The sequence below is a fragment of the Homo sapiens genome, chromosome 1, assembly GCF_000001405.40.
Source record: "Homo sapiens chromosome 1, GRCh38.p14 Primary Assembly".
Classification (NCBI taxonomy): Eukaryota; Metazoa; Chordata; class Mammalia; order Primates; family Hominidae; genus Homo; species Homo sapiens.
The window spans coordinates 169155550-169167732 of NC_000001.11; the positions used below are offsets into that span (position 1 = coordinate 169155550).

Consider the following 12183-nt stretch of genomic DNA (forward strand, 5'->3'; position numbering starts at 1 on the left):
GCAATAGCAATAAAGTGAGCTTCAGGTAAAGCTGAATTTATTCAGTTGAAGAGACAGTCCATTATTCTGTGATAAAATGCTGTTGGTGATTAAATGTCCTTTTAAAACAAAACGATGATGATGGGAAACAAATTTTTCTAATGTCTTCATTTGTTAAATTTTAAAAACTTTATCATTGTGTCTATCCCTGAAGTGGGTTTTATTACTGTTTAGTTTTTTTTTTTTTTTTGAAATGTTCCAGGTCTGTGAAATGTCAAATCTGACAACAGCTTGACAAAAATTAATCAAGAGAACAACTTGACTTAATGGAGAGTGCACAGTGTTTTTTGGCTCAGAACAGTGGCTCTCCAAGTGTGGTACTCTAAACCAATAGCATCAGCACTAACTGGGAACTTGTTAGAATGCAAATTCTCAGGCTCTATCTCAGGTCTACTGAACTAGACACTGGGGGGTACAGCCCAGCAATCCGTATTTTTAAAAAGCCCAGCCAGGCATGGTGGCTCACACCTGTAATTTCCAACACTTTGAGAGACCAAGGTGGGACGATTGCTTGAGCCCAGGAGTTCTAGAGCAGCCTGGGCAACACAGGGGGACCCTGTCTCTACAAAAAAAAATTAGTGGGGCATGACGGTGCATGCCTGTGGTCCTAGCTGCTAGGGAGGCTGAGGAGGGATCACTTGAGCCTGGGAGGTCGAGGTTGCAGTGAGCTGTGATCATGCCACTACATTCCAGCCTGGGTGACAGAGTGAGACTCTGTCTCAAAAAAATTAAAAAAAAAATTAAAAAGCCATCCAGGAATTGTGCTACTGTTTGAGAACCATTTCCCAGGGAATAGGTAGAGAAGATGCAAAAAGTGCTGAGACAAAATGCCTGGAGATTCTTAAATGCCCCCTGTAAGGTCACTTTTAGTCCAATGATTGTGTCTATTTATTTTATATGGATTTTCCATAGTTATTAATTAACCAATTTATACAAAATAAATTAATCTAAAATAATCCTAGAGTCTTCGGCAAATGATTTTATAAGTGCCTATATAAAGTGGGATAAATTATATTAAATACAGTTCTTAAGTCATTAAGCTTGTTACTTTTCAGATTCAGAAGGCAGCCTATCTGAAGAAAGGTGGAGCTGGCACTGTACTTGAGAAACAGAAAGACCTATGAACCTGTAACTCCCTTTGAATCTAGCAATGAACTTATGCCCCACTATGACGGGATATAGGAGGGAATGTGAAATTGCTCCTTATCCAAGATTCTTTTATCTGAGAAAACAACCAATGCTGATGAAATACTAACTGGGCCATAAAGAATTACAATTTGATAGCTTAAGGCCTCTTATATTATCATGATGTTTTTACGATGAATGTAGAGACTTCTGAAATATCAGGTTTGAGAAGGAAGAAAAGAATCCATGCAAACCATTCGCTTTCCACATGCACATATTTCAGGTTTTACTTGAATAAACAGCAATGAAAGAAGATGCTGGTGGACGTGGCCTTTTTAATTGATACATAATAATTGTTCACATTTTTGGGATGCTGCAGTGGACTTTTCTGGCAACTGGCAGGTGGAGGGAATGGTGAGATGTGGTACTTGAAAGTGGGGCTCACTCTCATCAGGTCATTGAGACATTTCCGCCACATAAAGAGAGAGAGGGTATGGAGGTGCACTGTCCCCATTCATGATATATTCCCACATGCATTTACTCAACAGACTAAAAGCCTGCAATATGTTAGCAGCTGGAGATACAAAAGTCCCTTATAAGCCCAGGTCCTCAAGGCACTTACACAACCCACAGGGAGAATGACAAGAGTTGGTCCCCTGTACACCTCTGAGCCACATGACCATGCCAAATGGTGAGTGCAGATTTGATGAACCTGCAGATAACTATTTTAAGCTGCAAGAAACCCAGGGCCTCTGCCCTTGTTACCCTCAGCATCCATGCAATACATGCATACCACATATCTCAGGCCTCTCCTCCTCCCTGGGAGGGCAAATGGCAGCCTTCACATTGAGACTTCCCCCCAAAAAATCTGGGTAATCAATCAGGTCATGGCTGGCTCCTTCCACAGAAGCCACAGATTCCCCCATTCAGAGACTGGAGTTCCGTTGGAAGTGTAACAACCCTTGGCTACAATTAAATCCATCTAGAGAGGCTATTGATCCTTTCAAAGTTAAGAGGCTGCTGCTGCTTCCAACTGTCAGTTAAGTCCTGAAAGCAAAACAATCCCTTTGCTGGCCTTCTCACAGGGTCTAGGCTTTCCTCAAAAGCAGAACCAAAGCCGACTTCGAAGAAGTCTGGTGTATGTCTTCTTTTGAGAAGTGTCTGTTCATGTCCTTTTTGATGGAGGTTTTTTATCTTTTTGGTAAATTTGTTTAAGTTTTGTATAAGTGCTGGATATTAGACCTTTGTGAGATGCACAGTTTGCCCAAATTTTCTCCCATTCGATAGGTTGTCTGTTTACTATGTTGATAGGTTCTTTTACAAGTTTTAAAAAAGTCTGGTGTGCCCCTACTCACTGGGACAGTGGTTTCTAAATGCTAGTTTAACTATCAGCCATATCAGAATATCAGAATCACCTGCAACATAAAATACAGTAGTGCCCCCTTATAAGTGGGGAATATGTTCCAGTTCCCCCAGTGGATGCCTGAAACTGTGGATAGTACCGAACTCTATCTATACTACGTTTTTCCATATGTATGAGAGATAAAGTTTAATTTATAAATTAGGCACAGTAAGAGATTAACAATAAAATAGCATAATTATAACAATATACTGTAATATTTCCTCATACTACTCAGAACGGCATACAATTTAAAACTTTTTATTTTTTAATTTTTGCAACCCTGCTCTTTAAGGTACCATACAATTTAAAACTTATAAATTGTTTATTTCTGGAATTTTCCATTTTATATTTTTGGGCCATGGTTGACCATGGGTAACTGAAGCTGTGGAAAGTGAAACCATGAATAACGGGGCTCTACTCTATAGATATAAGGAGCTCATACCAGACCTCCTTAACCAGAATCTTCTATAATAGGGCTCTAGGCTTACATAGTTAAAAAAAACTCTATAGGTGATTTTAATGCATGCCATTGATTGGGAACCGCTGCACTAGGACGGTAGTTCTCAAATTTCATGGGCATCAGAAGCACCTGGAGGGCTTGTTAAAGCACAGATTCCTGGGTCAAATCCCCGAGTTGCTAAGCAGCTGGCCTACAGTGGACCCCGAGAATTTCATTTCCCCTAAGTTCTCAGGTGATGCAGCTGTTCTGGAGCAGGGGAGGACACATAAGAACCACTGCACTAGGGATTAGCTAGGGCCAGTTCCATTGGAAGCCTGTTTACTAGCTAAATGCCTCTTGACCACCTGGAGAAGATACTGCTTTTTACCTTTCCAACATTCATTCTCCCTTTCTTCCTTCTAACAGTATCTTGATTTTTGCTAGTGGGAGCAATGTTCCCAAGTAACAGAACTACATTTACTCACTTCCTTTCTAAAAAGGGGCGGCCACAGTACTAAATCCCAGCAACAACAAAAATCATAACCTGAAGCTGTTGGGTGAGGGCTCTGGTTTTTGGAAAAGCTTAAAGGTGGGCGAGGGAGGAAGTGTTAGCTCAGCTGGCATTCTTCGCCTTTTGCCCTCACTCTTCTTTCTTTATGCCTGGAAAAAAGAAGTGATAACTCGAGTTCTGACAACCATTCTGTGGCAACAAGGCAAAAAGCACATACTAAAGATGATGACGGTACCAAGGAGGAGGAGACTGGGTGACTGATGGTATTACGGAGTTGCCATACCAGTCCCACATGCCTACCTTCAGATCTCAAATTATGGGGCGGAAAAATAAAAGTTCTCATTTTTAAAGATGATTTTAAGGTCTCTATTTACTAGTGACCAGAAAATTAATTATTAATTTGTCACACCCCAACCCACCAACATGGAGGCCATTATATTCACCTCTTTTCTCCGATCCTGCTATTCTCACATGGCTCTGAGATTCTTCTTCCCTTCCCCAATCTCTAACTATTCCTATTGCTTTCTGCAGAACTTCAGTGCCATTGTAAACTCCCTTGAAACTTGAATCTCTTCATAGGCCTCTTAGCCTTAAATGAAACTTGGATATCCCCTAAGGGCATCAATTCCTTGGAGTCCGCAGGATAAGAATCTCTGGCCAGGAGGGTAGGAGTAGTTCTATCCTTTGTCCCAGTGCTACTTTAAGACCTCCTCCCCTTATATATGAACTCCTGACTTTTTGAGGCTTATGCCATCTGGCTAGATCTTTTCTCCTTGTTGCTGTCACACCTTTGGTTCACAAACTTCCCTAGTTTGTGAAAGACTTCAGAATTTGAGTCACCATTTTCTTCTCCACCCTACCTCCTAACCATGATCCTAGGTGATTTCAATGCCACTCAACATGAAAGCTTCTCTCAGTTCCTAGACTTACATATCTCTAGTGACTGATACTGATCTCCACTCCACACTGGCTACCTCCTTCCATGGCCACACCCTGAATCATATCATCCATTACCATGGAAAGCTCCACTTCTGAAGTGTACAGTGACACAGCTCTTTCCCTGTTATTCCTGGGGTCTCTGTAGGTACCTTAGAAAAGCATTCGGTCCCTTGGCCCATCTACTTTATCCCTTTCTTCAAGCACCTCCTGCCATCACATCTTTCCTTGTTTATAACTTCAACTATAGTTGCTAACATCCTCAATTATCTTTCCTCATCGTACCCTCCTGTAAAAACCTCACCCCTGGGCCAAACTGTTCACCAGAAAATAATAACACCATAATACATGTAATCTCCTAAATCAACTGAATTGTAAATACAACCCATAAATATATATTCTGTCATCAGCACTTTCTCCATGGCCACTTCAAACTTTGTCTACTATCTCTTATTCAAGACTCCTGGTACTAGATGTTTTGGAATTTACAATAATAATCTGGAATATATAGTATATATTATATAATACTCCAAGGGGTCTGGGAAGTCACTCATCATCAAATACATTAATATTTTTACAGCAGTGTGAAGAGTCACACTAAATAGGTTAAATAAAAATGATATACATTAAATGTTTTGTCAAGCTACTGAAACAAAACTGTTTAATGATACACAACTTGATATAAGACAGGTTAGGTTTTACCATTAAACTTATGAAAAAACTTTGGTTTTCAGACATTTTTAGATTATTAGATTTTGGTAACACAGATAAAGATGGTACTATCACGTTTGCTTGGGGATAGGCATTAATCTGGATTCATTCCCACAGGCTACCTTTCACATCCAATTAGTCTCTGAGGCTTTCTGTTCTACCCCACTAAATGTCTTTTGAAGCTCACTGCTTCTGGCTATCCCTTCTGCCATAGCAATTCAGGAAACCAGAATTTTCTCCTGAATTACTTAATAGACTTCTACCTAGTCTCTGTCCCCCTAGACTCCACCCACTTGTTTCCCTGCCTGACCCCAGGGCCCTTTCATCTGTTCTCTATACTGCAGCCAGAGTGACCTCTATAACACAGGTATCATTGTGCTATTCCCCTGAGTAAAACATTTATTTGGATCCCTAATGGCCTCAAGATGAAGTTCAGTTGTCTTAATATGACTTTACGAGGCCCCTGCTGATGTTTCCAGCTTTATCTCTTGCCATTTTCTACCTCCTGGTCAAAGCCCCAGTCTTACTGCACTATTTTTAGATCTCTAAGAGAAAGCTGTTTGCTTTTGTATTTGTACAAGTTGTTCCCTCTTTGACAATGTACTACTAAAAATCACAACTCTTCTTCTTTCAAGATAGAAGCTAAAACTAAAGATAAATTATGAGTGTCAGTATGTGCAGAGGCCTGCGTTAATCACGGCCAAGAAATTGGGGCCTGTCCAATCATCTTAGTCACCATGCACCTATGTTTATTTCTGATTAATCCTTGATTCACTATTTTTTCCCCCAGAGTGTACCAGAATAAGAATCCATGCAGAAGTAATTATGTATCCAAATTCAGATTTGATCAACTACTTATGAAACTGACTTTGCAAAGATTATGACAGTGAGAGGAGTCTAGCATAGCTGACTCCATCTTGCTTCTGGCCTCACAGACTGGCTGTCTTCACTCATTCCTGGGTGTCAGCCAAGCTCACCATGAGAGGAACTTAGTCTATAGTTTAACCTGAAAACAAGAACTAACCCCTTCCTGGCTAGGGAACTGAAAACTGTCTTTGTAAAACTAATGAAAAGCCACAATATTAATATTATGGGAGGGGCCTGAATGCTGCTAAAATGTAGACCTAGGTTCTATAATGCTTTACTGCTCAGGGGTCATGTGGTCCAGAGGTCACAAGATTTGTGATCTCCCCAATTGATCCCATAGGTAACATCACTATCGTAAAACCTAAGATTGGTCTTTTGAGATGTTTTTTTTAGATATGCATTCCGGCAACCGATGGACCTCACCTTGACCCTGACTTATGACTCAACTGATCCTGTGGCCCCACCCAGAGGTAGACTCAGCACAAGAGGACCGTTTTCTACATCTCTATGATTTCATCCCCAGTCAGTCAGCAGTACACACTTCCTAGCCCTTGCCCACCAAATTGTCCATAAAAACCTTAACCTTTGATCCTTTGGGGAGACTGATTTGAGTAATAATTCCATCTCTTATGTGGGCGGCCTCTTGTCAATTAAAATGGTAACTTCAATACCACAGTCTTGGTGAACTGATTTTCTCTGTGCAGGGGGCAGGAAGAACCCGTTGGGCAATTAAACTTATACATACAATTAAATATTTTATATGCTTCTTAAAATTTTATAATCACAAAAGTGGTATCACCAAGTTACAGAACATTTAGAAAAAAAAAAACAGGAAAGACCTATGTTTTCATCATCCTATAAAATATTTGCTATACATAACTGTCTCCTGAAAGGTAAGCTCTGTGAAGATAAGAGCCACATGTATTCTGTTTACTGCTGTGTTCTCAGTGAAGTGTTTTAATGTTTAAAAAATATAAATACAGGCCAGGCATGGTGACTCTCACCTATAATCCCAAAACGGTGGGAGGCTAAGGCTGGAGAATTGCTCAAATCCAGGAGTTCAAGACCAGCCTGGGCAACACGATGAGACCCCATCTTTACAAAAAAAAAATTATTTGGGCATGGTCACACAGCCTATAGTCCTAGCCTCTCAGGAGGCTGAGGCAGGAGGATTGCTTGAGCCCAGGAGGTGAAAGCTGCAGTGAGCCATGATCACGACATTGCAATCCAGCCCAGGAGACAGGGTGAGACCTTGTCTCAAAATAATAATAATAATAAAAGTACCTAAATGAATGATTGACCTATCATTTTGGTATACAGAATTAAAATTTGAACATACTTGAATTTTCTACCATATACCCATTCAGCAACATTGAGGTTCTCAATTTTAGTACATGCAAAGTTTTGGTTGTTCCCGTAAGAGAAAATCAGAAAAAGAAGGTCCTTGGAAAAGACCACATGTTTAAAGGTAAAGTGAAAGGCAAAGAAGTAGATATTATTTTCCCCACATAACAATGATTCCCAAAGATGTTTTTCAACGAATCCTGGGGAAAGATGAAGGAAGCAAGGAGAAAGTAAAACTGCCTCTCACAAGTATCACTGGTGACATGAGATGACAACTAACACTGAAGTGGAGAAGAGGGGAGGCGTACACGAGGTTGAGTCATAACATCACAAAGGCATCATTCATTTTCATAGACAAGGGGGAGCCAACAAATGACATCTCGTATGAGTAACGTATGCCATACAGCAAAATAAATTTGCCAGTATCTTGTTAGAACTGTAGGTGGAAGCCATCTAGAAAAATTTCTGATGAGCAAAGGGATAAATGGATCAATTAAATTAGAATCTCTACTTGTTATCTTTAAAGGTGTTAAGGTCATGAAAGTCAAGGAAAAATTCAGAAACTGATCCAGATTGAAAGAGACTAAGGAGAAAACTAAATGCAATGCATGGTCCTGACCTGGATCCTTTTGCTAGCAAAGAACCTTATTGAGACAATTGGTGAAATCTGAGTGGAGTCTAAGGATTAGATGGTAGTAATAAATGAATGTTGATTTCCTTATTTGGATGCTTGTAATGTGATTATGTAAAAAAAAATGCCCTTTTATGTTAAAAATACACACTAAAGGATTCAGAAGTATGCACATAATGTTGATGACTTACTCTCAAATGTTCATAAAAAATTTATTGTACTGTACCTGCAACTTTTCTAAAAGTTTAAAGTTGTTTAAAAAAATTAGAATCTTGGCCAGGCGTGGTAGCTTACATCTGTAATCCCAGCACTTTGGGAAGCCAAGGCGGGCAGATCACAAGGTCAGGCGATCAAGACCATCCTGGCTAACATGGCAAAACCCTGTCTCTACTAAAAATACAAAAAATTAGCTGGGCGTGGTGGCATGCACCTGTAGTCCCAGCTACTCGGGAGGCTGAGGCAGGAGAATAGCTTGAACCCGGGAAGCAGAGGTTGCAGTGAGTCGAGACTGCACCACTGCACTCCAGCCTGGGCAACAGAGCGAGACTCTGTCTCAAAAAAAAAAAAAAAAAATTAGAATCTCTGGGGGTGAGTCTGGACGTCAGTATTTAGAAAACTGGCTAGGTGATTCTGATGTGCAACCAAGGCTAGGAAACACTGTTATAGAGTCTTCTCTATAAAGTGTGACATACTTTTTCACCGAGTGCAAAAAATACAATTTATTTAACTAAACTCTTCCTTCCTTTCTTTCAAAAATCACTTATTGAAGAGCTTTTATATGCCAGGCAAGAAAAAATCTCTTCCCTACTATGTGTACTCACAGTCTCACATGAGCAAACAGACACTGTGCTGTAATAGTAATAATAATAATAACTACTATCATTTGTTGAGCAATTACTATTTGCTAGGCACAATGATATTTGATAGGGCAGGTACTGTTATCTTCGTTTTACAGAGTGAGGAAACCTACGCATAGTGAGATGAGTAACTTGCCCAGGAGTACAGAGCTATTTTGACTTGGCTACACCACTATAGTATAGGAAGGCAAAGTGCTATGAAAACACACATACGGACTGATGCAGACTATGGGTGCCATGGAAGGTTTCTTAGAGGAGGTAAGGTGGGATGTATCTGTAAACATGCGTATTATTTCCATTGTTAATGATCACAAATACTCCTTCCATGAACATCTGTGCAGATAACTTTCCATTTTGTAGTCCTGCTGCCACTCTCTTCCTTTGCTTAGATCCTAAGAAGTAGAATTCTGGGACAAAAGTTATAGAAATATTCCAAGGCTTTCAATATGTTTTGCCCATAGTTGTCACCAGCTATATGAGGGTATCTACTTTACTGTAGCATTGCCAGCAGTGGGCATTATTACTTCAAAAGTTCTTTGCCATTAATAGAAAACTAGTATTTGATTACTCAGCTGAACATTTTACCATCAATGCTATCTTTAACACACAAATTTAAGATCATTGTAGTTACAACCAGCAGAGTATAAGAGAACATTAACAGTGACAGAACATTCTAGAATGTCTCATAAATACCATAATTTATTCCTATAATCACAAAATTGACTGGGTCACAATTAGCAATATTCAAAGAAAACAAATTTCTGTATTCATGCTAAGATCTTTGACCTCTCAAACTTACTATGAGTTCTAGGAGAACAGTAGAAATGAATTGTTTGATCCTATCACAATCCAGCAAGTAAAACATGTTCTATAATTGTTTGCTATAAAAATAAATAAATAAATAAATAAATAAATAAAATAATGGATAATGACAAAATATAAACTGAAGCCATACTTTCTGAGCTCTATACCCATGACACATAGCTCAGTAAACATCACATTAGGGAAAGATTAAAGAGAAGTAGCATGTTCCCCTCTTTCTCTTCTTGCCATATAAATAGGATAACAATATATTCTAGTTTGCGTGTGACAGTTCTGGTTTATGCCTCTTGTCCGAACATCTTTTCTGATTAGAGCTGCCTTTCAAAGGGTGTTTAATTGGGCAATAAATTTTATGGTCACTCTGCATCTAAAGGATGTCCCCCTAATGAAGAGCTGATCCTAGGAACAAAGTGCTCACTGATCAGACAACTTGTCTTGTGTCACTCGGATTTTCACTTTGAAGACCTATAGCCAGATACCTCATTTGGCCTTTATGTATTTTCATAATATTTTATCATCTGAAGCCAAATAATAATCTGAAAGTAGCTAATTGATAAGGGCATCCTTGACTATCTCAGCACTCTTTATTTCATTTTATTGATAAAAGAAGTGAGGCATGGAAAGAAAATGTGACTTATTCAAGTTCATATCAAGAAAATAATCAGCCATATAAGAGGAAGCTACTGATGCTCTAACTTCTGATTTTTGATTAATTCTCTAAACCACACAGTCATTAATGTACACTGAAATCTCCAGTGAAGTTAGATCAGAAAAATTGCAATCATTTAGTAAATGGCTTTGCAAACTACAGGCAGTAATAATCTATTTCAAACAATATGAACAAAATCATAGGCATACCTTAGATAATACTTTTTCCTTTTTTTCCCCTCAGGCCCTCTTGGATAATATTTTTAATGGGTATAAATTTCATGGTTAATAACATTTCAGTCTCATTAAATAAAAGTCTCTATTCAAACCTAGTTGATAGGTCCAAGCTATCAGAAAGTGAGGAAATATTTATTTATAAAATAAGTTAAAATTTAAAATAAACATTTAATCTTTTTGGTTATTAAAAAATAAAGCTTGGTACATTTTTACATTTCACAAGTATGTCTAAATTTCATACAAAGATGCATAATAGATAAGGTTTTACAAATATCTTGGATTATAACAGAAAATCTTAATGGAGCTAACAAAGTCATTTTCTATAACAACAACAAAGAAACTTATGGTGATAAATTTAATAGACTATTACTAAGAACTATATGAAAAAAAGTGACTCTACTGCTTGCATAAAAGGAGAGGCATACCACATATGAAGTTGGAGAAACTCACTATTACAGATATGACATTTCCATATAATTTATAAACATATTGTAATGTCACTGAAAGTCCCACTTGCATTTTGTAGGGGTGGAGTAAAGACCTCGGTAAAAAGTCATTTAAAGTTCATTCGGAGGTTGGCCAGGCGTGGTGGCTCATGCCTGTAATCCCAGAACTTTTCGAGGCTGAGGTGGGTGGATCACCTGAGGTCAGGAGACAGCCTGGCCAACATGGTGAAACTTCATCTCTACTAGAAATACAAAAAATTAGCTGGGCATGGTGGCATGCACCTGTAATCCCAGCTATGCAGGAGGCTGAGGCTGGAGAAATGCTTGAACTCAGGAGGCGGAGGTTGCAGTGAGCCGAGATTGTGCCACTGCACTACAGCCTGGGCGACAGAGTGAGACTCCCTCTCAATAAATAAATAAAAAGTTCATTTGGAGGAATACATTTTAGGGACTAACCAAGAACACTTTTGTAAAGTATAAATAACCTACAATAATAAAAACAGTATTTTGCTGGTACAGATCAATGGAATAAAATAGGAAGTTCAGAAACAGGCAAGGATGTATATAAGTATTCAATAAATGAGAAAGAACAATGAAAGGATGGATGGATTTAGCCATTTAAATAAAATAAATTGTTTATTATTAATAATATTGTGATAGCTGGCTAAATCCATACCTCACACTATATGTCTAATAAATTCCAGGTGGATTGAACATTTCAATGTATGAAAATGAAAACAAAATATTTGGGGAAGGCTTTTCTATGTACAACTTCCAGGACATAATTTTTTTTTAAAAGACTAATAGATTTGATCACATAAAACATAATACTCATTAAAATAAATGTGTATTAAGGATATCAACCATTTTTCTTCATTTAATCACTTAAATTTATTATTTCTTTTTAAATTTCATTTAGCTTATTTTGACACAAAAATTTTAAAATCTATAAGAAGTTAAAAAAATAAAATATTTATTTACAGTTTCCTTCTTGGATTTTGGCCTAGAAATAACTTTCTTAACCCTAAACTGGACCCATTTTCACTTATATTTTCTCAGAATTTTTCATTTCATATTTTATGTTAATTTAAAAGATGAGAGATCAAATATGGCTTTGTTTCATATTAGCTGTCTGGTTTGGGGATGTTACTTAACCTCTCTGAGTCTC

General features: G+C 38.2%; 1 protein-coding gene across 3 annotated transcripts in view, besides 1 other annotated feature; it reads right to left on the bottom strand.

Annotated features, from left to right (window-relative positions):
- NME7 (NME/NM23 family member 7) overlaps positions 1-12183 on the bottom strand; it is a 235267-nt gene that overhangs the window by 23019 nt on the left and 200065 nt on the right. The window lies entirely within an intron of this gene.
- Positions 6236-6495: an enhancer, noted in NCBI's record as "active region_2070". NCBI's record gives its function as "activates an Ori minimal core promoter by ATAC-STARR-seq in GM12878 lymphoblastoid cells {active_cell/tissue: GM12878}" and the evidence as "EXISTENCE:reporter gene assay evidence [ECO:0000049][PMID:35858748]".